General features: G+C 48.0%; 2 protein-coding genes and 1 long non-coding RNA gene across 8 annotated transcripts, besides 5 other annotated features; 1 reads left to right on the top strand and 2 right to left on the bottom strand.

Annotated features, from left to right (window-relative positions):
* Positions 424 to 6764, bottom strand: TOMM22-DT (TOMM22 divergent transcript). The gene is made up of 2 exons (XR_007068097.1): positions 6634 to 6764; positions 424 to 1397 (listed from the first exon to the last, which is right to left on the bottom strand). It is a non-coding gene; the product is annotated as a TOMM22 divergent transcript (long non-coding RNA).
* Positions 6653 to 7852: an enhancer, noted in NCBI's record as "BRD4-independent group 4 enhancer chr22:39077750-39078949 (GRCh37/hg19 assembly coordinates)". NCBI's record gives its function as "activates an origin of replication core promoter dependent on BRD2, P300/CBP, MED14 and CDK7 cofactors, and independent of BRD4, by STARR-seq in HCT116 cells {active_cell/tissue: HCT116}" and the evidence as "EXISTENCE:reporter gene assay evidence [ECO:0000049][PMID:35650434]".
* Positions 6699 to 6768: a silencer, noted in NCBI's record as "silent region_13724". NCBI's record gives its function as "represses an Ori minimal core promoter by ATAC-STARR-seq in GM12878 lymphoblastoid cells {active_cell/tissue: GM12878}" and the evidence as "EXISTENCE:reporter gene assay evidence [ECO:0000049][PMID:35858748]".
* TOMM22 (translocase of outer mitochondrial membrane 22) lies at positions 6865 to 10329 on the top strand. Its single transcript, NM_020243.5, has 4 exons — positions 6865 to 7003; positions 7231 to 7349; positions 7787 to 7904; positions 8675 to 10329. The coding sequence occupies exons 1-4, from the start codon at positions 6887 to 6889 to the stop codon at positions 8747 to 8749; spliced, it is 429 nt and encodes a 142-aa protein (NP_064628.1). The 5' UTR covers positions 6865 to 6886; the 3' UTR covers positions 8750 to 10329.
* Positions 6899 to 6968: an enhancer, noted in NCBI's record as "active region_19015". NCBI's record gives its function as "activates an Ori minimal core promoter by ATAC-STARR-seq in GM12878 lymphoblastoid cells {active_cell/tissue: GM12878}" and the evidence as "EXISTENCE:reporter gene assay evidence [ECO:0000049][PMID:35858748]".
* Positions 7159 to 7208: a silencer, noted in NCBI's record as "silent region_13725". NCBI's record gives its function as "represses an Ori minimal core promoter by ATAC-STARR-seq in GM12878 lymphoblastoid cells {active_cell/tissue: GM12878}" and the evidence as "EXISTENCE:reporter gene assay evidence [ECO:0000049][PMID:35858748]".
* Positions 10330 to 10450: 121 nt separating the features above from the next.
* JOSD1 (Josephin domain containing 1) lies at positions 10451 to 26311 on the bottom strand. Of its 6 annotated transcripts, none has more exons than NM_001360235.2 (5): positions 26165 to 26311; positions 24711 to 25526; positions 14204 to 14332; positions 13843 to 14037; positions 10451 to 12909 (listed from the first exon to the last, which is right to left on the bottom strand). In NM_001360235.2, the coding sequence occupies exons 2-5, from the start codon at positions 24893 to 24895 to the stop codon at positions 12810 to 12812; spliced, it is 609 nt and encodes a 202-aa protein (NP_001347164.1). In that variant the 5' UTR covers positions 24896 to 25526; positions 26165 to 26311; the 3' UTR covers positions 10451 to 12809. The 6 variants fall into 6 exon arrangements, with proteins under 6 accessions (NP_001347164.1, XP_005261935.1, NP_055691.1 ...); XM_005261878.4 differs by having other exon boundaries at positions 25874 to 26311; NM_014876.7 differs by lacking the exon at positions 26165 to 26311 and adding an exon at positions 25812 to 25851.
* Positions 25358 to 26317: a silencer, noted in NCBI's record as "silent region_13726". NCBI's record gives its function as "represses an Ori minimal core promoter by ATAC-STARR-seq in GM12878 lymphoblastoid cells {active_cell/tissue: GM12878}" and the evidence as "EXISTENCE:reporter gene assay evidence [ECO:0000049][PMID:35858748]".

Here is a 27026-nt window from a genome sequence, read left to right on the forward strand (position 1 = left end):
CAGCTCCTGAAGTCAAGCGGGAAGGAACTGAGGGGGTGGAGGTGGGGGCATGGTGCCCAGGGCTTTAGACTAGGGACAGGCTACCATGGTTAGCCACTTCTGAATGCCCGGTACATGCCTGGCACCAGGCTCCCTTTGCTCTCACTGTCTCATTTCCCCTTCAGCTCAGCCCTGTGTAGCAGGGGCTATCGGCACATCCATCTGCAGAGAAGGAAACTCTGGGAGGTTCAGACACTGATCTAGGATCACACAGTAGAAGTGCTGGAGCTTGATTCACACAGCCCGCTATGAAAGAGAGGAGCTGGGGGCGGCCTCAAAGGGAGCTGCTGTCTGCAGTCCATCCTTACGGCCAGCAAAGCACTCTATGGGGGGGATGGATCGAAGGGCAGATTTGTAGCTCCAACCCATAACCTGACTTTCTGATACAGGAGAGAATGTTTAATACAGAAGAAATTGGAAAAGGATCCACATATATGCAAGGTGTAAATCTTCAGGTGCAGATAATAGGAGCAGTGGAGTTTGCTTATGCCTCGGCCGGTATCACTGGGGACCCTTTATTAATATTCCTGATGCTGGACACCTCCCGATGCTGGACACCTCATTTGCATGACACTCTTTCAAGTTTGTTATCCCCATCACCATGTTTTAGATGAGAAAACCAACCCAGCACAGTGACACAGTGGAAGGGTGGGGCCAGGACTGAAGCCTTGGGCATCATGTGGGCATATTTCGTTGTCACAATGGTGTGGATCCCCCCATGACCAGCACCATTAGGACCTTTGGGGGTTGCAGCCAGGAACCCTAAACATCCTGTGGTAGGAGGGGCAGTTCTGCAGTGAAGAAGGAATTTCTTTTGAGTGAGCGGGGAAGCAAAAGCCATTGTTATGAGCAGATAAATGCTATGATCCAACTGCACTTTTAAAAGGCGCTGGGCGTGGTGGCCCATATCTGTAATCCCAGCACTGTGGGAAGCTGAGGTGGGTAGATTGCTTGAGCTTAACAGTTTGAGACCATCCTGGGCAAAATGGTGAAACTCCATCTCTACCAAAAATACAAAAAGATTAACTGGGTGTGGTGGTGTGCACCTGTGGTCCCAGCTACTCAGGAGGCAGTGGTGGGAGGATTGCTTGAGTCCAAGAAGCAGAGGTTGCAGTGAGGTGAGATCGTGCCATTGCACTCCAGCCTGCTGACAGAGTCAGACCCCGTATCAATCAATCAATCAATAAAAATAAAAGGATCCTTCTGGTGGCTTTGTGGTGAGAACAGACTGAAGGAGGCCAGGCCCATCCCAGGGAGGCCACAGTAGATGAGGTGAGGTGGTCTGATTCTGGATAACACTTGAAGGTAGAGCCTCCCCGTGATGGCTGGGAATCAGGGACAGTCCCATGAATGAAAGTCTTTAGGAGAAAAGGAAAAAAAATCACCCATATATCGCCACACTAACCCTGTTTGCTTCAGCGAGGTGTTTTGTTTTGTTTTTCTTGAGACATTATATATTTTCAAATCTAAATAGAGCCAGATATATCCTTCAGGTTCTGGCTAAAATTCTTCATCCTCAAAGACTTTATTGGCCAGGCACAGTGGCTCACGCCTGTAATCCCAGCATTTCAGGAGGTCAAGGAAGGAGGATTGGGCTGAGCCCAGGAGTTTGAGACCAGCCAGGGCAACATACTGAGACACCATCTCTACAAAAAAAAAATTTAAGTTAGCCAGGCGTGGTGACACACACTTGTAGTCCCAGCTACTTTGGAGGCCGAGGTGAGAGGATCCCTTAACCTGGGAGATCGAGGCTGCAGTAAGCCAAGATTGCACCACTGTATCCTCCAGCCTGTGTGACAGGGCAAGACACCGTCTCTTTAAAAAAAATTTAAAAAGGGCCTGGCGCGGTGCCTCATGCCTCTAATCCCAGCACTTTGGGAGGCCGAGGCGGGCGGATCACCTGAGGTCAGGAGTTTGAGACCAGCCTGGCCGACATGGCAAAAACCTGTCTCTACTAAAAATACAAAAATTAGCCTGGCATAATGGCAGGCACCTAATCTCAGCTATTTGGGAGGCTGAGGCAGGAGAATCATGTGAACCTGGGAGGTGGAGGTTGCAGTGAGCCGAGACTGCACCAGTGCCCTCCAGCCTGGGCAAAGGAGCAAGCCTCCCATCTCAAAAAAAAAAAAAAAAGAAAGAAAAGAAAAGAAGATTCTGTGGACGAGAGGGAGGGCATGAGTGCAGGATTAGAGGCAGTAATGGCAGGAAGACCGAGTTTGAGTCCTAGCAAGGGGAACTGCGCAGACAACAGGACAGGCATGGGCTAATGTGCACTTTCTAATGAGAGGGGCTTATAGTTTTTATAGGATTCTCGAAGGGAGCCATGCCCCCACCCCCCAATTAAGAGCTACTATATCACATGTTTCTAATTCTGACAGGACAGAAACAAGCAAGGTGGAAATCTTGGGCTCGAGAGATGGGGAGTAGAGGAGCTAAGAGCCCAGCGTTCTTGAACCTGCCTCTCCCATCCGATGGCAGTCACCTGGGCTCCTAGCATGGGGCATTGCCACTCACTTGCTGACACCCTTGTCCACTGATGCGACCTCCATCCTGGCACCAGTCTCACCATGTCATCTCTGCTGCTGAGCCTTCCTCTTGAAGACTTCAGCAATTCCTCAGCCCTCTGGTTTCCCTCTCTCCCCAATCTTTAAATGTCTGATTCCACAGGACTCTGTCTTTTTTTTTTGTTTCTGAGACAGAGTCTGGCTCTGTTGCCAGGCTGGAGTGCAGTGGCGTGATCTCGGCTCACTGCAACCTCCAACTCCCGGGTTTAAGCAATTCTCCTGCCTCAGCCTCCTGAGGAGCTGGGACTACAGGCGCCTGCCACCACATCTGGCTAATTTTTGTGTTTTTAGTAGAGATGGGGTTTCACCATGTTGGCCAGGATGGTATCAATCTCTTGATTTCGTGATCCACCCGCCTCAGCCTCCCAAAGTGCTGGGATTACAGGCGTGAGCCACTGCGCCCGGCCAGGGCTCTGTCTTCTGTTCTCACTCTGCCTTTTCTTTTCTTTTCTTTTTTTTTTTTTTGAGATGGAATCTCACTCTGTCGCCCAGGCTGGAGTGCAGTGGTGCAATCTTGGATCACTGCAAACTCTGCCTTCCGGGTTCAAGCGATTCTCCTGCCTCAGTCTCCCAAGTAGTTGGGATTACAGGTGCTCACCACCACGCCTGGCTAATTTTTGTTTTTAGTATAGATGGGGTTTCACCATGTTGGCCAGGCTGGTCTCGAACTCTGGACCTCAGGTGATCCACCTGCCTCAGCCTCCCAAAGTGCTGGGATTATAGGCATGAATCACTGCCCCCAGCCTCACTCTATCTTTTCTAGATCATCTCATCTCCTCCCAAAGTTCTGAACACTCTGCATTGCATGATTTCCAGTATTTTTTCTTATCCCTTGGAAATTCTATAATCATTGAAAGAGCTCTTTCATCCTTAAACAGGTTTTTTTTTTTTAAATCATGTGTTGCTCTTATGAATATAAGCAAAATTCATTGGTTTTCCTAAAACTTCTCCACATTAGCATTGCGAATTACTTTCCATTTGGAGTCACTAATGTCTGTGCTTTTCAAATAAGATTGGTCCCTCTACGTTCAATAGCATTAGTCTTCTAGCATTTCTTAAATGAACCCATAAAAGAACTAAAAGCTGTTGGCACTGGGCTCTTAAGCTGCCCTCGAAATTATAAAGGGCTAGCCCGCTTTTTTTTTTTTTTTTTTTTTTTTTTGAGACAGAGTCTCACTCTGTCGCTCGGGCTGGAGTGCAGTGGCGCAATCTTGGCTCACTGCAACCTCCGCCTCCCAGGCTCAAGGATTCTCTTGCCTCAGCTTTCCGAGTAGCTGGGAATATAGGCGCCTGCCACCACGCTTAGCTAATTTTTGTATTTTTAGTAGACAGGGGGTTTCACCATGTTAGCCAGGCTGGTCTCGAACTCCCGACCTCAGGTAATCCACCCGCCTCAGTCTCCCCAAGTGCTGCAATTACAGGCATTAGCCACCGCACCCAGCCCCGCTCTTTTTAAAAAAGTAACCTTTTTAACACAGGCAAAAAAGCATAGTTCATAAGTGTACAGCTTGATGAATTACCCAAAATCAACACAGACCTAAGAGAACCATAGCATCCCAGAAGCTACTCTCCTGCCCCTTTCCAAAATTAACCCCTTCAAGGGAATCACTGTCCTGACCTCTCATCATAGATTGGTTTCTGCCTGTTTTTGAACTTTATATAATGGAATCATACAGGAGTACCCTTTTGTCACATGAAAACTGTCTGATAGGCCAGACTCACGCCTGTAATCCCAGCATGTTGGGTGGTCAAGGAGGCTGGATCACTTGAGGTCAGGAGTTCGAGACCAGCCTGGACAACATGGCGAAACCCCATCTCTATTAAAAATAGCCGGGGCCATGCCTGTAATCCCAGCTACTCAGGAGACTGAGGCAGGAGAATCACTTGAACTCGGGAGGCAGAGGTTGCAGTGAGCCGAGATTGCGCCACTGCACTCCAGCCTCCATCACAAAAAACAAACAAACAAACACAAAAAAGTGTCTGATAGAGATGCCCTGTCCAAAGATGAAAGGGAGGCCTGGGGACTGTATCGGAAGGAGTGTGAGACACAGGACAAATGCTCATTACTGCATCCTCATGCATCACAGAAGGATTTGGACTCTCCCATCCTGGGAGTCTCTGATTCCAGGTTCAGTTGGCTAAAGGTGTTTATCAAATTACCCTGTTTAATAACATGGGGCACATTTTAAAAAGAAGCACTTACATCCATCATATAGGCAAAAAGTAAAAAGATGGATAACACCTAATGCTGGGGAGGGTGTGGGACAAGGACATTTCCATTTACTGTACTATTATGAAAGCATCTGATAGAGGCTGGGAGCAGTGGCTCATACCTGTAATCCCAGCACTTTGGGAAGCCAAGGCGGGTGGATCACCTGAGGTCACGAGTTTTAGACCAGCCTGGCCGACATGGTGAAATCCCATCTCTACTAAAAATACAAAAAGTTAGCCAGGCATGGTGGCACACACCTGTAGTCCCAGCTACTTGGGAGGCTGAGGCGGGAGAATCGCTTGAGCCCAGGAGGTTGCAGTGAGCTGAGATCATGCCACTGCACTCCAGCCTGGGCGACAGAGCAAGACTCCATCTCAAAAACAAACACACAAACTCAAACAAAAATTTATATCTGCATACTTTCTGACCAGCTCACCTACTTACTAGAAATCTATGTACTATGCCTCAGTTTCCTCATTTCTAAAATGGGGATAACAGTGCCTACCCCAGTGAGCTGCTGTGAAGATTAAAGGAGGACACACCGCACCCACCCACACCCACAGGCACCAGAGCACCTGGTATTTAGGTGTTAACTCTTACCTTTGTTTGGTACATAGGGAAGATTTACCTGATGTTTTCCCAAAAGACCTGCAAGACACTAATTTATTCCTACCAAGTAAAACATGGCTCAGGAAAACGAAACTGGATCAGTGTCTCTCTAAAACAGCCCAAGAAGCAGGCCAAGGAGATGGACAAGGAAGATAAATCTTTGGCCCTGGTCACAGGCCGAATTAAGAAATCCGGCAAGGTGGGGCGCAGTGGCATAGGCCTGTAATCCTAGGACTTGGGGAGGCTGAGGCAGTCGGATTGCTTGAGTCTCGGAGTTCAAGACCAGCCTAGGCAACACAGTGAAACCCTGTCTTTATATATATATGTATGTGTGTGTGTGTGTGTGTGTGTATATGTGTGTATGTATATATACATAATACGTATATATGTATACGTATGTATATATATACATATATACACATACCTATATACACATATATACATATATACACATATATACATATATATACATATATACGTATATATATACACACACATAAAATATATATTATATATAATATATAACTATATATAGGCCAGGTGCGGTGGCTGATGCCTGTAATGCCAGCACTTTGGGAGGCCGAGGCGGGCAGATCACTTGAGGTCAGGAGTTCAAAACCAGCCTAGCCAAATGGTGAAACCCCGTCTCTACTAAAAATACAAAAAATTAGCGGGGCGTGGTTGGTGGTGCATGCTGAGGCAGGAGAATCGCTTGAACCTGGGAGGCGGAGCTTGCAGTGAGCCGGGATCACACCACTGCACTCCATCCAGTCTGGGCGACAGAGCGAGACTCCGTCTCAAAACAAAACCAACAACAACAACAACAACAAAAAGCTAAAATCTTACAAAAAGCGACCTGTTCCACTGTCCCTTGGGCCTGCGGTGATGGTGGGCCTGACTCCATTCGTCTTTAAACATCTCTATTCCCGGCCACATCTTTGGCCACCTATGCTCGAATAAAGTGTTGTCTTGGAGCCTGTTGTAAATTTAAGAATAAACTTTTGTTAAAAAAAAAAATACAGTGGCTCATCATCTCTTGAGTTGTTTTCACTCAGCCACTCCTACCTTAGCTGTGAACTTAAAGTAAAACAAGCCCCCAGAATCTTGCCAGAGTCAGCCCTTTGATCTTTGTTCTCCCCTGAACTCTATTACCTGGAATTAAAACAACGCATTTGAAAAAAAGAAAAACAAGCAAGTTTCTGAGCTCACCCTATACCCGCTGAACAGAATGACTGCGGTGGCGCCCCAGAACCTCTCACAGGCCTCTCAGCTGCTGCTAATGCCCGCCGAAGCCCCGACGCCCGGATAAGGCCAGGGCTGCCGGACCCGCTGCGGGCACTGGAGGACCCGGGGCTAGAGGGCGCCGCTCTCGCCCGGCTCGCGCCTCGGCTCCCGGAAAAGCAGCTCTGTCCGCCGTTCGGCTGCGCTCACCTCCTTTCCGCTTCCGGTGTCCCCTACAGTCATGGCTGCCGCCGTCGCTGCTGCCGGTGCAGGGGAACCCCAGTCCCCGGACGAATTGCTCCCGAAAGGCGACGCGGAGAAGCCTGAGGAGGAGCTGGAGGAGGACGACGATGAGGAGGTACTAGGGCCTCGCGGGGTGCAGAGCGGGAAGCGGGCCCGCTCGTGGGTGTGGGATCCGCGTGGTACGGGATCGGAGCGAAGCGGCTGCTTTGGGAGGCGGGGTTAGGGGCCCTGCTGGGCCCTGGGTGCCCTAGCTCCAGTGGGGCTCGGCGGCTCCCAGTGCCGCAGCGGGGCCAGGAATGGATGTCGCTTTTTCGGCTAAGACCCGCGTCTACTCCACCACAGCTAGATGAGACCCTGTCGGAGAGACTATGGGGCCTGACGGAGATGTTTCCGGAGAGGGTCCGGTCCGCGGCCGGAGCCACTTTTGATCTTTCCCTCTTTGTGGCTCAGAAAATGTACAGGTAAGGAACGAGGGCAAAGGCACTGGGTACGTGCATGGGATGGTCGTGGTGCTGTGAAAGAACACGGGGTTTGGAAGCAGCAGACCCGTGTTGGGTGACCTTGGGCTTGTACCCTATCCTTTCTTAGTTTCCTCTTCTGTAAAATGGGGATTCTTACCTGGCAGGGGAGTTGTGGGGGTTATTTCAGATTGTTGGAGATAATTAATGAATAAGGAGCTTTGTAAGAACTCAGGAGAATGTTAAACCGCCATCACTAGATGATACAGCTACCATAGCTGCTCCTCCTGTCTCTGGTAGGAGTATGGTGTAAGGAGCGGGTAGAATACGTTTATCAAAAACATTGGAGTATGTAATGTGAGAGGTTTGGTTACTGGGTAGTTCTTGCCTGTTTTGTTTGCATGTCTTCATGCTCACCCTCTGGGGATTTTCCTCTGCAGGTTTTCCAGGGCAGCCTTGTGGATTGGGACCACTTCCTTTATGATCCTGGTTCTTCCCGTTGTCTTTGAGACGGAGAAGTTGCAAATGGAGCAACAGCAGCAACTGCAGCAGCGGCAGGTGAGCCCAGACCTTGGGCTTTTTGCCAGTGGTGGAGACGCAAGTTATTTCACTAACACATTGGTCCCCAACCTTTTTGGCACCAGGGACTGGTTTCATGGAACACAGTTTTTACATGGATGGTGGGTTGGGGGTGGCCGGGGGTCGGGGGGGGGGTTCTGGATGATTCAAGTGCATTACATTTATTGTGCACTGAATTTCTATTATTACATTGTAATATATAATGAAATAATTCTATAACGTAGAATGAGTGGGAGCCCTGAGCTTGTTTTCCTGCAACTAGACAGTCCTGTCTGGGGGTGATGGGAGACAGTGACAGATCATCAGGCATTAGATTTTCATAAGGAGCTTGCAACCTAGATCCCTCGCATGCACTGTTCACAAGGGTTTGTGTTCCTATGAGAATCTAACACTGCTGCTGATCTGACAGGAGGTGGAGCTCAGGCAGTAATGTGAGCGATGGTGAACAGCAGTAAACACAGATGAAGCTTCTCTCACTTGCCTGCTGCTGATCTACTGCTGTGTGGCTCAGCTCCTAACAGGCCATGGGCCAGTGCCAGTCCACAGCCCAGGGGTTGAGGGCTCCTGTTGTAGCACCTGAGTTGACCAACAGTTAATGTGTGGGTGGGGATTGGGATCGGGCCCATGCTCTTTTAGTTGTCTGACTGTGCTTTCAGTATTATTTTTGTAGACGTTGGCCCCATCAGGTATGGTGAGAATAAGCTCTCTAGGCCTGTATGATGCCTTACACCCCTCCTTTTCTTTTCCAGATACTTCTAGGACCTAACACAGGGCTCTCAGGAGGAATGCCAGGGGCTCTACCCTCACTTCCTGGAAAGATCTAGATTGTTATTGCTGTTTGAGCTGTCTCAGTGGGATAAGTTTGAAATTCAAGTGTTTGAACTGCTGATAATTTGGATTTTTTTTTTTTTTTAACTTTGGCACATTGATCTATCTAAACCTGGTGGGGAGAATTATCCCCACATTGTCTCATGGAAAGACTCAACTTGCAACTGTGCCCTCCACACTATCCTTACTTCTGTCTCCACTCTGATACCAGAGTGCAGCCATGCAGATGGTTATTCCAGCTCTGGTCACCCGACTCCTTTCACCAAATTGCTCCTAACTGGAAGATCTCACTTTCCCCTTGTGGGGTAGGAACCGATGCCAGTGGGAGGGATGTGCCCCTGACCATTAACGACTGTTTTTTTTTTTTTTTTTTAAAGAATGGAGTTGTTGGGGCAGGACATGCACACAATGTGAAACAGACAAAATGCATTACACCTGTAGTGTAAAGTGGCCACTATGAATCCCTATGTATGAGAGGAGGGAGGCAGGCTGCAGCTTCAGCCACAGAATGGGGACTATGGAAGACAGCAGGAGCTCATTTCCTCTGCACATTTTGGCTGTTAGACCTGTGTGTGTGTTTAAAAAAAGAGAAGTCAGTGCTCACTTTTTGTATTTAAATATTAAAAATGATTCCAACTGAAAGTGTCATCCTAAGTACCTTGAAATGAGACCACGTCAGAGACATGTACTGCCCCTCACATTTTCTCACCTAAACCAGCAGCACCTCCATCTTAACAGCCATAGGCCCAAATTGTTTCCAAGTGAAAATTCATTTTTAGCCAAGTACTTCATAGCAATCTTTGCCCTGAATTTAGGCAGTCACTTTGAGATCCATCAGCCTAAAACAAAGGATTGGGTCTATGTACTTCTTTAGTCTATAATGACACTGTGTAATTATAAAGTATTTGTAGGGAATAACATAGTACTGATTTCTGGGGAATAGGGGAGGGGGACAGAATTTTTTTTTTTTTTTTTTTGCCTGAGATCAGGTCTCACTGGAGTACAGTGGTGTCGTTTGGGTTCACTGCAACCTCTTACCTCCCCTCCAACTTGGCCTCCTGGGTAGCTAAGACTACAGGTACACGCCACCGTGCCCAGCTAGTTTCTTTTATTTTTGGTAGAGTCAGGGTTTCGCCTTGTTGCCCCAGATAGTCTTGAACTCCTGAGTTCTAGCCATCCACCCGCCTCTGGCCCCTCAAAGTGCTGGGATTATAGGCGTCACCCACCACGCCCAGCCAGAGTAAGCCTTTTGTGTGTTTATCAGATCAACCAACACTACAATCTAGGTGGTACTGTTCCCATTTTACAGAAGAGGAAACAGCCACAGAAAGGTAATTGCTCAAGGCTGCAGAGTTAAGTGCTAGACCTGGATTCAAATCCAGGCAGTCCAGCTACAGAACACTGCTGCTGTGCGCTCGGGATGGTGGGGCTGGGCCCAGGCCCGCTGGGTATACATGATCTTTCACTTGTTAACTAGGGAAAAACACTAGTCACCAGTGTGGTACAAACTTGTACTTAGGTGGATTCTTCAAATTGTCAAGATTAGTTTTTATAAATTAAAATAGACTGAAAAATGTCTTAGAGACATCTTTTGAACCAAATCCCATTTCAGTGACTATTTTGTCTGGATTTCTCAGGTGAAAGAGTTAATCAAAGAATGATATGTCTCTAAAAGATGACTTACGCTGGCAATGAACTCCTTTTAAAACAGCGTCATACTAAAGTTTATTTTTCTTTACACAATTATAGAATTCAGGCAGACAAGGAGACATATATGGAGTTTTCCATTTTTAATATTTGGTTAAACAAAATACATCTTTTGTAAACAAACGCAGCACAAGGCCAACAACAAAAAGGAATAAAAGCAAGAAAAACAAAAAGCCTAGGGTTGCCCGTTATTGGGCATCAGGGTCAGGCCTGTTCACTTCCTTAAAGGAAGTGGGGCTTTTTGCCCTTGGGCATCAGCATGGGTCCCTGTTCCTAAGCACCAGAATTGGATATGAACAGAGAAACCAGCCCTGAAATGTTTAAGCGTCTTTGCATATCCCATTGGCTCATGGACTCCAAGTGCATGGGGACTCTTTCAAGTGCCATTTGCACAGGCCCAAGTGGATTTGTGGAGAGGAGTTTCCTCCTCTACCCAAGAAATGGCTTACTATCTGACAGTGCCAGTGGCCCCAAGGTCCTGCTTGTGACAATCAGCAAGGTTGGCTGTAATGTCTGGCTGGTGGTGGTTGGAATGTCATTGTGCAGGGCAGGAAAAGAGCTCCCTGTGGTGCCAAGCAGGTCTGGTGTAGAAAATGGTGCAGAAGAGACTGCGGCCAGTTGCTGAGAAGATATAACGCAGTAGCCGCTTGGTGGCCTGTTACTCAGCATTAAAAAAACGGCCTTGTTGGATTGAAGATACATGTGCAGAAAAAGTGCTGGTGTCAACATGCACTCCAGTCACAGGGGGGAGAAAGCCCAGCTTCACCCCGTTAAGCTTGCTCAGGATCAACATGCAAGCCCCAGGCTGGCTTTGCTGCTGGAGAGAAGTCTGGCCAGTGGGACAGCTCTCAGACCTGCCACGACCATTGATCTGAGGGCCAGCAGGTCACCCCTGCCTGCCACCTGCCTTGAGGCAACCACATCCACTTTGGAGACACGCATATGGTATGATACTTATTTCTCCTCTTTTGTTTTCCAAAGTTACAAGAGAAAAGTGGCCTACAACTATCTGAAGAGGTAGGGGCGGGTTGAACTTCCATTGATACAGAGAGGAAACGACATGAAGATGACCAGCCCAGGTCCTATTCCATCCATACAGCACAGAACCACCCAACCTGAGCTTGGCAACTACAGTGGCAGCCTCCGAGCCTAGAGTGTCTACTGAATTGTGGCTGCCCCTACTCCAAGAAGCCTGTCTTCACAATACTTTCCTCACCCAACGCTGCCCCAAATTAGTGGAATTTGATGTCAAAAGCAGACTTTTTTTTCCTGATTTTGCCAGAGTGAGTGAACTGGGAAAACTGCTCTTTGGCTTCTCTTTTGTCCCAGAGCCTCCTAAATCAATGCTGCGAAATGGTAGGGACAACACTGGAGTGAAGAAACCAAGCCACCCCATGGCTGTCCCAGGTTGGCTTTAGCCACATCCTGTTCAGTATCCTCCTCACTTCATACTAGAATATTAGTTAATTTTTCATTATAAAACTCTGCCGGGTGCGGTGGCTCACGCCTGTAATCCCAGCACTTTGGGAGGCCAAGGCGGGCAGATCACTTGAGGTCGGGAGTTTGAGACCAGCCTGACCAACATGGAGAAACCCCATCTCTACTAAAAATACAAAATTAGCCAGGTGTGGTGGCAGGCGCCTGTAATCCCAACTACTTGGGAAGCTGAGGCCTGAGAATCGCTTGAACCAGGAGGTGGAGGTTGCAGTGAGCCGAGATGGTGCCATTGCACTCCAGCCTGGGCAACAAGAGTGAAACTCAGTCTCAAAAACAACAACAAAAAACCTCCACGTATGGCCATAAACCACCCTTAAACCTGGGGATAAGGGTTGGAGACAGCATGCTGTACCGCTGCTAGGGTTTTGGACATGGTTTCCTGAGAGACCTTTATGCTCTGGGTCCTTCAAACCAGTCACATGGGGTTTGTGGGCACTATCTGCAGACCCACTGTTTTCAGACCCAGACAGGATGGAAAGTGGAGGCAGCATCTCTAGGTGAGTCTGGAGCAGCAGTGACAACTCAGCAGAACCTGTGTCAAGTCCTCATAGAAAAGGGAAAATAAGCTAGGATTCCCTCCCCGCTCCACTTTCTCCTCTGTCTCTTAAATAAAACAAGGGTTTGTGACCACTGGCCTTAAGTGCACAGAACTCCTACCTTCCTTGCCCAGGAACAAAACACTGAGTAGTTCTTATAACAGTCCACACGTCTGTCCTATTGCACTGTCAGATCTGAAGGGGAAAAACTTGATGAGATGTTTGGGGAAGTGGCAAGGGCAGACCCACTGTAGAGGCCACAGCACGTCACAGAGGACTGAAGGGGCTGAGGCGAGAGGGAGGTTGGGCAGAACTGTTACACATCGGTCCTCCAACTCTGATGAGCCTCTACCTCTTCTGGTACCACCAGCAGGAGTTCACAGTTCTTTCCTCGCAAATGATGTTTTAGAAACTTCCTATGGAAAAAGAGATAGAGAAAATGAAATGCTGGCAAGTTGCAAATTCCAGTCTCAGGACCACAAAGTCACCTGAAACCTCACTCTACCCTCGGCAGTCCAAAACACATCCCTGTAGTCATCTGGTTTTGGAGGGTTCCACATTTGGTTACCCTCCAATCTGTCCAGTTAAAATTCCAACCTGAATTTTGCTCATCCTTGTAGTTACTGCCAAGAGTAGCTGGATCTGTGAATAACAGTACCCAAAGTATATAAAGGACTTTTTCTTGGTTTGTTTGGAGACGGAGTTTCGCTCTTGTCGCCTGGGCTGGAGTGCAATGGCATGATCTCGGCTCACTGCAACCTCTGCCTCCCAGGTTCAAGTGATTCTCCTGCCTCAGCCTCCTGACCAGCTGGGATTACAGGCGTCCGCCACCACGCCTGGCTAATTTTTGTATTTTTAGTAGAGACAGAGTTTCACCGTGTTGGTCAGGCTGGTCTCGAACTCCTGACCTCAGGTGATCCACCCGCCTTGGCCTCCCAAAGTGCTGAGATTACAGGCGTGAGCAATCGCCTCTAAAGAACTTTTACAAATGTTCTTTGGTCCTGGGGAAATTCAGTGCTCCCTGGCCTGCATGTTTGTCTTCCTTTCTATGAACTGGCAACTACACTGTCTCAGTTGTCTTAAATAGAGAGAACGTTACAATGCCAGCCCCACCAGACTAGAAGGCTGGTATCCCAGGCTGGGCATCTTCCCTACCAAAAGGACTTAAAAGTACTGATGCGCCATTGAAGATTAAGGTCAGGTCCGAGACACTATGATTCTAAGGCAGGGAGAGAATCCAAGGGCACAGGAATTTCATTTCCTTTGTCAAATAACCAGAGATGAGCTCAGTGTCCCCAACCTAAGAAATGAAGCAGCCTAGCAACTTAGTCACAAAAGGTGCCGATTACCTGAGCTCGCTCTCGCCTCCAATCCACTCGGGCATCTTGAGTTTGGAGTCGAGGTTGTAGTAGGCCCCTCCCACCTCTCGAACACAGATCCAGTGCTGCCTTTTGAGGGGCAGTTTCAGTGGACCCCAGCATAGGCTGGAGGGCAGATTCATGATGAAGCCCATGACGTTAGTGAGGGCAATGACACCGACATCCCTGCAGGGGAGAAATGGTGGCAGGCTCTGATGCAGCCCATTTTCCAAGGTTCCCTGGCTGTAATACCACAACTGGCTACCTCCCCACTCATGCCATGAGCCCAAGTACTAAAAGCTTATACCACAACCGTGCTGTTCTCCATCAAGTCAAGCCTGATTCAGATTACCTGCGCTTGTCCCACCAAACAGCTTCATAGCCTTTGGTCTGAAGTGCTGCCATAATGACATTCACATCGTAGTTGCCATTTCCCAGCATGCTCTTCTTGTGAGGTGTCACCATGGTGTTTGGAGACAACCTACCAATGTGAAAAGAGGAGGGCTGAGACTTGCTGGATGCCTGAACCCCCTGACCCCGCACTACCAGGGATGGAGAGCACTTTACATCACTGCCCCTGGAAGTTAGTTTCCCCACATTCAAGTGCAATTTCCCCAGCTTCTACCTAAGTATTTTGTAAGTGTTCCATGAAGGTGACTCACTTATGAAATCCCAGCCTCCTGCAGCCTTTCTGCTCTTCCTCCTGATACTGATTTTCCTGCCTCATGCAAGCCTTTTTTTTTTTTAACATTGGAAAATAGGATTCAATCTTTTCATTTGCATGGATAGTAACTGGTGTCACTCCTGCTTTCTAGTTAAGGCCTGCAAACTTGGTAATCATTAATCATTAAATACTCAAAGGCATACAGGAGCCTAGACAGGTGACATAAATGTATAAACTGGGGTTGGATATAAGGCAATAAAAAGTAGTGAGGCCTACTGGAATGCACGACCCACCTAAAGGCATTCTGTGTGTGTGTGTGTGTGTGTGTGTGTGTGTGTGTAGTACTTGAATAAATTTTTCTTAAAATACCCAATAAATCAACTGAAAAAAAATTTGTGCCAGGCAAACAAAACTCAGCTGCAGCACTGGTTTGCCCACCCAGCTTGAAGCCATTTACTTCCAGGTTTCTTTAGCCAGTCTGTATTTTAAGACAAGGTCCATGCTGAAGGCATTTCTAATTCTATTATTTTACCTTCATAAACTTGTCAGGCCAGGAGCTGGGGAAAGGCCATTTTGAAGGAAGGGTTCAAGGGGCATACCTTTGGGCTTCGTGTGAAGGGGAGAAAGGGAAGTGTGGCGAGTTCCTCAGGACATAAAGTGCATGATCAAGAGGCTACTACATGCCATCTCCAGAAAAGAATCAAGACGTTAGGCCAAGGATGTCAACTCTAAAAAACTTAAGAAATCTTGTATTTTTAAAATTTTTCTGTGCACAGCAGAAATACTGGTATTTTTTTTCTTTCTTTTTTTTTTGAGTCGGAGTCTTGCTCTGTCGCCCAGGCTGGAGTGTGATGGCGCGATCTCAGCCCACTGCAACCTCCGTCTCCTGCGTTCAAGTGATTCTCTTGCCTTAGCCTCCCAAGTAGCTGGGATTACAGGCACCCGCCACCACGCCCACCTAATTTTTGTATTTTTAGTTGAGATGGGGTTTCACTACGTTGGCCAGGCTGGTTGGTCTCGAACTCCTAACCTTGTGATCCACCCGCCTCAGCCTCCCAAAGTGCTGGGATTACAGGTGTGAGCCACTGAACTCAGCAATACTGGTATTTTTCAAATATAAAACATACTCCTGGCCAGGCGCGGTGGCTCATGCTTGTAATTCCGGCACTCTGGGAGGCTGAGGTGGGCAGATCACTTGAGGTCAGGAGTTCAAGACCAGCCTGGGTAACATGGTGAAACCCCGTCTCTACTAAAAATACAAAAATTAGCCAGGCGTGGTGGTGCACGCCTGTAGTCTCAACTACTCAGGAGACTGAGGCAGCTAACTGCTTGAACGTAGGAGGCAGAGGCTGCAGTGAGCCGAACATAGGAGGCAGAGGCTGGATGTCACCACTGCATCCAGCCTGGGTGACAGAGTGAGACTCCGTCTCAAAAAACAAACCAACAAACAAAACAAAACAAAACCCCATGCTCCTGGCCGGGAGTGGTGGCTCACACCTGCAATCCCAGCACTTTGGGAGGCCAAGGTGGGAGTATCGCTTGAGCCTGGGAGTTAGAGACCAGCTTGGGCAACATGGCAAAACACTGTCTCTGCAAAAAATACAAAAATTAGGCGGGCATGGTGGCATGTGCCTATGGTCCCAGCTACTCGGGAGGCTGAGGTGGGAAGATCACCTGAGCCAGGGAAGTCAAGGCTGTGGTGAGCCATGACTGCACTCCAGCCTGGGTGATAGAGTAAGACCCTGTCTCAAAAAAAAAGAAAAAAAAAAAAAACCCACAGAATTAAAAACAACAAACATACTCCTGCCACTGCTTAAAACCTTCTGATGGCACCTAAAGCACTTAAATACACTCTAAACTACTTCCTTTGGCATGCAAGGCCCTCAAGGTCCTGCAGATCTCATCTCTTACCTTTTATTACACTGACCTTCTTACTGTTCCCTAAAAACAAAGCTCTTTTTCTCACTGTGCACTCATGCACTCACTGTTCCCGCTGTCTAGAATGTTCTTTCTGTAGTTCCTTATTGTTTGGGTGTCAAATGTTACTGCCATAGAGAGGCCTTTTCTTTTTCTTTTTTTGAGACAGAGTCTGGCTCTGTCGCCCAGGCTGGAGTGCAATGGAGTGATCTCAGCTTACTACAACCTCCGGAGAGGCCTTTTCTTGACCACCCAACCATAAGTTTCTCCCAGTCACTACCTCACATCAACCTTTTGATTTAATTACAGCCCTGTCACTACCAGATGTGTTTCTCATTGGTCTGTTTTTCTACACTAGACTGACAGCAGGGGCCTTGACTATCTGTGAACGCTACACTGCTAGGGGCCTAAAGAGTGCCTGGCACAAGACAGGTGCTCAAGGAATGTTTGCTGAAATGTTCAGTGTTTATTTTTGTTGTCCTTCTCTTTCCCTGTAAACATCAGTAACTGACTCTTAAAAGGGCTTATATGCTCATCTCCAGGGCTAGCAAAGAAATCTGCAACCAAACTTTATCTTACCTGTAATAATAACTATAACTTATTGAAAAATCTCTGTGCCAAGCACTATGATAAGGTACTTTAATTTGCATTTCATTTAATCTTCACAATAAACCTATGAGGATATGAATTATTTCTATTGTATAGGTCCATAAAACTGAGGTTTGGTGGTTTTAACTGACCTGCCCATGAGCACTTGCAAGTGACAGAACTAGGATTCCACTGTGGATTCATTTGAATCCAAAGTTATGCTTGCTGTCTTACAGCAAGGACCCAAGAATCAGAGTGGCAGGGGATGGGGGCTTGAAAAGAAGAGAGGCCAGCTACATCCCTGAGGACTAGGGATGAAACATAGCTTAAAAAGACAAAGGCTCTCCATGGGTACTCACACGTTTGGATTAAATGAGAACACACTGCCAGGTGCAGTGGCTCACGCCTGTTATCCCAGCACTTTGGGAGGCCGAGGTGGGAGGATCACTTGAGGCCAGGAGTTTGAGACCAGCTTGGCCAACATAGTGAAACCCCATCTCTACTAAAAATACAAAAAAATTAGCCAGGTGTGGTGGCAGGTGCCTGTAATCCCAGCTACTCGGGAGGCTGAGGCAGGAGGATCGCTTGAACCCGGGAGGCAGAGGTTGCAGTGAGCCAAGATCATGACATTGTACTCCAGCCTGGGCAACAAGAGCAAAACTCTGTCTCAAAAAAAAAAAAAAAAAAAAAAAAGAAAGAAAAAAAGAGAACAGAACACATATGAAAGAAGGCCTAGCCCCTGATATAATTGGTTCCTTTCCCAAGTTTCTTGTTCCTTTCACTGAAGTCTCTGACCAGTACATGAATGAAGGCTCCAACAAGGAAAATGCTGAGTCTTCCACCTCATTCACCATCTAACTCCCTACCAGGCTCAAACCTTAGAGCGGCGCTTCCCAAGGGTGCTCCTGGAGATGCCATTTCCATGTTCATTAACAGAGGATCCCAGAAGGCATCCAATACAATAACAGCTGAATGAACCAAGTAGGTAAATGGGTTTCCTGCAGAATTCTTGGAGTCCCTAACATGCTAATCTTCACTTTGAATCTCAAGGAAAGGGGATTATAAAATATGCTTCAGTTCCCAAACAAATTTGACCACACATTTGTTTTGAGGTGTACCTTACAGAACTAGCTTTCCAATGATCTTTCTTCCCTGTCCTTCATCTTCTGTCTTGGATTCAAATCCTTTCCTATTACCACTCCATCTCTCTCCTAACCAGAGGCTCCTTACCTCACACCTTGACTTCTGAAACAGATTCCTAAAAATTGATCACTTTGCTTCCAAGCGCTCCTTCCACCAATTCAGCCTCTATGTTCCTGCCAAATTCACCAAGGCATCAATTCACTTCCCTTTGTATATATAGGAACTGACAATGGTACCAACTGCCTGGTTGGCCAGTTCTACACTTCCTGGCCCCACTTGGCCAGCTATATCCCTCTCACTGGGCTTAGTGCACTTTAGGCACCATGATCATATGGCCTTTATTCTATTTTTTCTTCCTCTGTCACCTAGGCTGGATTACAGTGGTATGATTGTGGCTCACTGTAGCCCCAAACTCCTGGGCTCAACTGATTCTCCTGTCTCAGCCTCCCTCTTGAGCCACTGTGCCCAGCAGCCTCTATTCTTTTATCCTATTTCCTGTTCCAAGCCAAATCCTACAGCTCCTTCACACCCTATCTCTTCCATAGGATCTTCCCTGGATCCTCTGTAAAAAAGGGAGGGAGAGTGAGGACCATACATATCTGAGTTCATATCCTAGCACCGATCAACACTAACTGTGGGATTTAATCTCCATGCCTGTTACCTTGCCTGTAAAAATGGAAATAATTACTATTTTATAGGACTGTTGGAGAATTCAGTTATTTCATATATGTTCAATCAAACACTAAATCCCTGGATAGTTTTTTACTCTATATCCCTCACAGCTAGGCACTGGCAACTCAATAAACACGTTAGGCAATTTGAATACAGGAAATATTGAGTAGCTTCCATCTCATGCTAGAGGAATGGTCATTTGAATAAGTGGGGCCCACCCAGCGTATTCACCACACCAGCACTTGCTTGTACTTTTAACAGTAATCAAGTGGCCACTGTGTTAGCTGCTTTTATGGGCTTTATCACTTCCAGCCATCTTGAGATACCATAAACATGGAAGCTGAGGTGCAAAGGTTATGGTGACTTGCACAGTCAGGCACAGCTGGTGAGTGGCAGGGCTAGGGTCAGCCTCTACCCTAAGACAATACTGAAGAGTGCTCTGGATATTTCAACACACCAGTCCCACTGAGTTCCATGGGATCCTGATGATTCCAGTGGAAAGTATTCTTGAGACTCCTTGGCAAACTCCTGTTTGGGACTGTCTTAATGATTTCCATAGAAATTCTGGGCTACAAAGTGAGCCTCTCACTTCTGTCATCCACAGCCAGAGGTTAGAGCCATGAGATGTGAAGTGATGTAAAAGTGAAAAGACGGGCCAGGCGCAGTGGCTCAGGCCTGTAATCCCAGCACTCTGGGAGGCCGAGGTGGACGGTTCATGAGGTCAGAAGATCGAGACCATCTTGGCTAACACGGTGAAACCCCATCTCTACTAAAAATACAAAAAAGTAGCCGGGCGTGGTGGTGGGCGCCTGTAGTTCCAGCTACTTGGGAGGCTGAGGCAGGAGAATGGCCTGAACCTGGGAGGCGGAGCTTGCAGTGAGCCGAGATCATGCCACTGCAATCCAGCCTGGACAAGAGAGCGAGAGACTCAGTCTCAAAAAAAAAAAAAAAAAAAAAAGTGAAAAGACGGGTTCTAGTCCAGGTCTCCCCACTGTCTGTGTCCTCAGATAAGTCCTTGTTCCTCTCTCATGGTTTCCACTGTGTCTGACTATGGTGATGATTTTGGATATTAATGAAAAAGGAGATAGGAGACATTTCATCAAGATTCTTTTCCCCGCCCTAATTCTTTCTTTCCTTATCAGATCTGAAGAGATGTGACATCAGAAAATATGGCTCAGAACTTCCTGATGTTTCTAAATCAGGCATGGGTCAAAGAGCTAGGCACACATTAGTAATCCGTAGGTGTTAGCTATTATTACTACGTGTTTGCCTAGCCCTTGGACAAGAGAATTCAAGTCTCTAGAGGTTAATACTTAACAACAACTTTTCTCAGTTATAACCACCATACTTCTAAATGTGGCCCCTTCCACCTGCTCAAGGACTATGTAATGGGGAGGCTGGAATAGTCATCCTCTGTGGTAGAGAATGCTAATTGTTCACCAATATCCCCAATCTCTTTGCTCCTTCCAACTTTCATTAGATTTTTTTCCCTTGATACCAAGCTACTTTTTGCCTAGTTTTTTTTTTTTTTTTTTTTTGAGATAAGGTCTCACTCTTTTGCCCAGGCTGGAATGCAGTGGCACGAACATGGCTCACTGCAGCCTCGACCTCCTGGACTCAAGCCATCCTCCTATCTCAGCCTCCCAAGTAGCTGGACTACAGGCGCGAGCCCCCATGCCTAGCTAATTTTTAAATTTTTTGTAGAGATAGGGTCTCACTATGTTGCACGGGCTGGTCTCAAACTGCTGGACTGAAGCCATCCACCCAACTCGGCCTCCCAAAGTGCTGGGATTACAGGCATAAGCCACCAAGCCCAGCCGTGGTTAAATTTTAATATTAAATATCCAAGGCCGGGCACGGTGGCTCACGCCTGTAATCCCAGCACTTTGGGAGGCCAAGGTGGGTGGATCACGAGGTCAGGAGTTTCAGACCAGCCTGGCCAACATGGTGAAACCCCGTCTCTACCAAAAATACTAAAATTAGCCGGATGTGGTGGCGGGCGTCTATACTCTCAGCTACTCAGGAGGCTGAGGCAGGAGGATTCCTTGAACCCAGAAGGCGGAGGCTGCAGTGAGCCCAGATCACGCCACTGCAATCCAGCCTAGGCAGACAGAGCAAGACTCCGTCTCGGGTGGGGGGAAAAATCCTATTTGGGAGAGGAATGCAGAACTAGATGTAAGAATCTGATCACTAAAAAACTGGGATGAGTCTAGTGAAAATGTTTCAGGCCTGAGCATTTTCAAAACCACCTAGCAAAGCTGCCATCATGTAATTTGATTTCTATGACCCTTTTTTTCAAACCTTATACCCCCCCTTTTTTTTTTTGAGAGATGGGAGTCTCACTCTGTTGCCCACACTACAGTACAGTGGTGCGATCTTGGCTCACTGCAACCTCTACCTCCTGGGTTCAAGTGATTCTCCTGCCTCAGTTTCCCGAGTAGCTGGGACTACAGGCGTGTGCCATCACCCCAGCTAATTTTTGTTTTTTTTAATAGAGACATGGTTTTGCTATATGTTGGCCAGGCTGGTCTCAAACTCCTAACCTCAGGTGATGTGCCCACCTCTGCCTCCCAGAGTGCTGGGATTACATGCGTGAGCCACCGTGCCTGGCCCACATTCTTTATATAAAATGATGAGATCTAATATCTACATCTGTATACATATACACTGATGACACTTGCCCAGTTTATCTTTTCTCCAATTTCACAGGTTGAAAACAGATGCTTTTTAAACAAATGACCTCTTTTTGCAGATGTTACCACTATGTTCAAATCCTGGACCAAGCCTCTGACACACCTGACTCCTCTCTTCCTGTCCTTGTTGCCGCCATGTTGAGTCATTAGCTCAGCTCTGAGTTCCTATTCACTTGTAAGCATGAATCATCTCACATCCACAACTCTATTGAAACTCCACCCTGCTTTTGTATTTTGCTTCTTTTTTCTGGCTAAAATTCAACTGCTAGGATGAACTTCCTCTCAACAAATAGTGCTTATCAACATTTCCCTCCCATTTCTACCATTCACTAGCCACACTTTTAAACAGCATAGAATTATATCTGCTAAGGTCCAAATTGATCACTTTTCACTTTTTAATTGCTCTGAATGCCAGGGTTCTAACTTCACTTAAATCTAGTCTCAAGGCCTGGTTAAAGCATAGCTGAGATGTGCTTCTCAGGGGCTGAGGCCTGTTCGACTCGTTTTCTCTATGGTGCCTCATAGTGCCTGGCACTCTGCAGGCAGCTAGTCAATGTTTGTTTAAAAAATTCCATCTTCTCTCCCTCACCTCTTCTCCCTTTGCTTTTTCCTCTAGATTCCTTTCACACTTCTGTATTTTTTGTTCCTACCTACTCATACATTCTTTCAATATAAAATACTCTACACAGAATTCCACTTCTGGAGTTGGGACAGAATACATGCCCTTATGTGCTGGCTTGCCAGCACTTTTTGGATCTTTATATTATGCTGCTAGAATTGGGGAATGCAGTACAATTTGCTAAAGCTTCAAAAGGAATAGGATCTTAGTTCCATGTGGGCATTTAGCAAATATTTAGCATTCTTGTATTCAGGAGAACAAAGCTGAGAAACTCTTGTTATCATCCACACACACTTGATGAGCACAGTCCAGAACGTCAGTGCTGGCCCAGCTCAGCAGCTGGAGGAACAGCTACTGATAGCACTCTACAGGCGCTTCCAGTACTCGAGAAACAGGAGAGCGGTTAGCGGGGCAGGTTCTAGAGTCAAAAGGCGTGGGGCCAAATTCTGCCATCAATAGCTGTGAACTCTGTGCCATGATTTCCTCAACTGGAAAAATGGGCAGCAACAGAATCCATCTTGGAAGATCAGTGTGAGGACTGAGTGGACACAAGGAAAGCACTCAGAACGGTGCTTTGCACCAAGTGTTCATGTGTGTTAGTGATCCTATCATTATTCCCATAGTCAGATCAGGGGCCAAATGTACAGAAGTGAAAACTTTTCTACCAGAGTGTGACTGGATACACAGAATCTTGTTTCTGGAATTTATTTACTAGTAGGTGAAACTGGGCAAATCGCCTAAAATGAATCCTAGTTTCCTAAGTTCATCACTGATAAGGTTGTTGCAAGATTGTTCATACATATCACAAAGTACTAAGCCATTGAGGTACTCACCCTGAGTCCTTTCCTTCTCCCTAGTTTTAGCTCAGGAAATAATTTGCAAATATCTGATTAGGAGTAGGAGAAATACTAATGGCTGGCCAAAAGGAAGCATGTACTGGGTCCTCCTTTCAGTGACATGACCTGATGATCTGAGACGAATTATTTTATCTCCCAGTGCCCCAGGTCCTGAAGAGTCAATTCTACTTGCTGCCAGATAATGGCCATGATGCAAATGATATATTAGCTCTGGTAAGGCATTACTCTGGTTACTACTGGCATTGGAAAATAATTACTCTCATTATAGTTTTGTCTGCATCTGGGGATTAACATTCTCCTAAGAGTAGGCCTTTGGCTCTTTCAGGGCAAATGGTCCATACCTGTGTTTTACAAATCACCCCAAATAGGTTGCTTCCAGCTGTAATTCTGGTCCCTATGTGGCAACAATTTCACTTCCAAGCTAAGAGAGTAAGAAAAAGGTCTTCTGGAATTGCTAATATGCACTGCTTGAAGAATGCTTGAGCTTCTCTGCAGCGAGGACTGCGCGGGCCTAACTACTTCTAGTCGGGGTCATCAGGCAAGATCATCACCTGAGTTGCTATGGACTGCAGCCATGCTGTTGTGTCCATTAAGACACCACAGAACTGACTCTCAAAACCTTTAATAAAGTAATTCTAGAAAATCAAAGCAAAGAGAAAAAAGCTGAACTTCTTTTTTTGTTTTTCCGAGACCCGTCACCCAGGCTGGAGTGCAGAGTGGTGCAATCTTGGCTCACTGCAACCTCCACTTCCCAAGTTTATGCGATTCTCCTGCCTCAGCCTCCCGACTAGCTGGGACTACAGGCGTGCACCACCACACCGGGCTAATTTTTGTATTTTTAGTAGACACGGGGTTCCACCATGTTGGACAGGCTGGTCTCAAACTCCTGAACTCAGGTGATCTGCCCTCCTCGGCCTCCCAAAGTGCTGGGATTACACCGTACTTGGCCAAAACCTGAACCTCTATTAACCTGTGGGGTGGCATTTGTTCTAAGTGGGTAAGAAAGGCCATCTAGAATAAAGGAGAAAGAAGAGATCTGGAGTCAACTTCAAATTATAGCTTTGCTATTTAGAAGCTATTTGGACATATTACCTGACCTTTCTGCCTATCAGCATAATACAGGCAGTGAAATGACTGTTGGGAGAGCTTCACAAAGCAATGTACGAACAGCACTACTGCCAGCACATGGCCTCACAGAAAAGCTGAGCATTGTTTATACATCTTGCTTGTGGTACCCACCACATTCCACCTTTAAAGACAGGTGACTGAACGTGTACGTATCTAGTCCCACTTCTAGACTGTAAACTCCTCGGCAGCAGAGCTTTACAGGCATTATAGCATAGTGGTCAACAGCATAGATATAAGAATTCAACCCCAGCTCCAAGTCTTGTTATCTTGGGCGAGGTACTGAACTAAATGTGTCTTCATCAGTAAAATGGAAATAACATCACATATTAACACGTATTCCACGGGACTGTTGAAGATCACTCAAGAAAACACAGCTGAGGCTATGAGTACTTTCCTAGCCCACCGTAAGTGCCTGATAAATGGTAGTGATTATCTTTTCATGTCTTGTGTCCCTTATACCTGCTAACGCAATCTAGCTAATACCTACAGCTTTGAAGGTTTATGAAGCTGAGACACTGCCCCACCCACAGAAATCCAGAAATATCAGTATCAAGATGCCAAGGAGAAGGGTCCCCTACCTCTGGAAAATCTCTTGCAGCGTATCCCGGGTGAAGGCATTGCTGTCCTGGAAGACGTTATTGAGGGCGTGGAGGGCACAAAGCTCCCTGCGCTGTTTCTCATGGTAGATTTGTGGGGGTGCTGCCTGGGGCAGCTCCAATGATTCAGATTTGGCCTTGTCTCCTTTCCATGGCACACAACTCATGTTTTTTGTTTTAGGTTCCAGAGATGGCTATAAACACCCCACTCTTCCCTCTAGAGGAAGAATGTAAGCTTCTCAGTCTTTTCCGGATTCCTGAGGTCCACCTTATTCTCTGGTGTCCATGATTTATGCTTTGTCACTGGGAGAAAAGATTGGAATCAAAAGGAAAAAAATAAAACCCACCTCTTCTCTCTTCTCAATAGAAAAATAACTTTTGGATTACTTTTATTTTGCTACCACTGTCAAAGTGCAGAATTTAAAAAAACACATAAAATGTAAGACCTTGTTTCCGTTTCCCCACCCTTCCCTCCCACCCCCCTCCAAAATCCCCACGATTTTCTTGCTGTTTCCCTCTGCAAATGCCAGGCCTCAAAGCAGGAGGACCGAACACAATCGGTCACATCGCTCCTTTTCTTCCATTTCTTTTGAACCACGACGCCAATGACTCGGGAGACAAGGCCTGGGTGACGGATAAATTTAGCGCACGAGTCGAGTAGCTAGCGCGGGCCGGCAGGCGTGGGACCGCGAGCCGCGCGGGGGCCTCGGGGGCAGCCCTCCATCCCCTCGGGTACGGTGGGGCCCGCAGGGCGCGGCTCCCTCGGAAGGCGCGGATTCTAGCCCTCTGGCCGCGGCCCTGCGGAGGAGGAGACAACTCCGGTCAGCGGCGAGCGGGCGCGGGAAGTGAGCGGCGGGGCCGGCCCCTGCCCGAGGGAAGGTTCCGCGCGGCGAAGGGCTGGCCCGCGAGGGGTGGGGCCGGACAGTCAGCCTCGCGCTCCCGGGCCCGCGCCCACCCGGCTCGCAGCCCCTACACAAACCTCCCCGCCCGTCACGTGAGCGCAGGCCCAGACGCCCTCCCGCCGCGCCCCCGGCCGCAGACCCCAGGGCCGCCGGGACTGCTCGCCGCTGGCGGTCCCCTCACCGCAGCCGGCCGCCACCTGGAGTGCGCGCCGCCAACTGGGCCGTGCGGGCGGGCGCGCGCACCTGAGCCCGACGTCAGCGGCCCCCGCCCGGCGCGTGCTCCGGAAACGCCCTCCCGCGCCGTCCTCACTCCTCCCAGCCGTGGCGTCACGCCTGACGTAAGTCTGACGTCATCGGCACCGGCCTGGGAGCCGCAGACGCCGGGCGTGTAGGGGCGCAGTTCAACGGTTGGGGTGTTGCAAAGGCCGTGGGTGTGGGGCTGCGGGCTGCGCACCTCGGCGGCGGCCGGCAGGGTTGGGGTCCAGCCGCTCCGCTCGGCGCGGCCCCTGGCGGGGCGGCCTGAGGGAGTCCTACCTGGACGCCAGCCTGCCCTTCTCCCGGGCGTGGGCGTTGTTTCGGGGCGGCAGCCAGGCCAGCGGCTGCAGTCCGCGGCTTTCAGCACCCCTCCCTTCTCTGTGCCGGGCTTTTCGGCCGAACGTTCTCGCTCCTTCTGCGTTGACTGTTTTATGTGTGGTTAACGCGCGGCTCACCAGGGGGGATTTTGAAGCACCTGATTCGGTCGGGCGCAAATTGCCTTGGTTAGTGGGCCCGACCGTGCCGCACTGTCCAGGGAGCGTCAAGGGTAGGTGTCTCGCTGGGAGTCACATTTCAAGTGGAAAGGAGAATCCTGTTGCAGTTCCTTGGTGTCGCATTTCGGTTCACTACACACAAGCCACTGCCTTCTTGCCTGGGGGCTCCCCGCTCTTCTCACGGTGGCTTTCCTCTCTGCAGAGACCTCTGCGCGAGGTATACCTAAGCGCATTGTGTGCGTCTTCGGGAAAAGGCGAAAACTACTCGCAGTCCCACGTGGATTTCATTTTTTCCCCTTTACCTACTCTTAGGGTGCGTGGTAGGCATCATTATCCACCTTAGCTGCCCTTCTTTTGGGTTTTCTGTAAAACTGGAAAAACGAGAAGAAACTGTTGCACTTCAAATTTAGTTGTTTTGTTTTGTTTTTTGGAGACGGAGTTTCGCTCTTGTTGCCCAGACTGGAGTGCAATGGCATGATCTCCGCTCACCGCAACGTCCGCCTCCCGGGTTCAAGCAATTCTCCTGCCTCAGCCTCCCGAGTAGCTGGGATTGCAGGCATGCGCCACCACGCCCGGCTAATTTTGTGTGTTTAGTAGAGGGGTTTCTTCATGTTGGTCAGGCTGGTCTCGAACTCCCGACCTCAGGT

Source organism: Homo sapiens, chromosome 22 (genome assembly GCF_000001405.40).
Source record: "Homo sapiens chromosome 22, GRCh38.p14 Primary Assembly".
In the NCBI taxonomy this organism is placed as follows: Eukaryota; Metazoa; Chordata; class Mammalia; order Primates; family Hominidae; genus Homo; species Homo sapiens.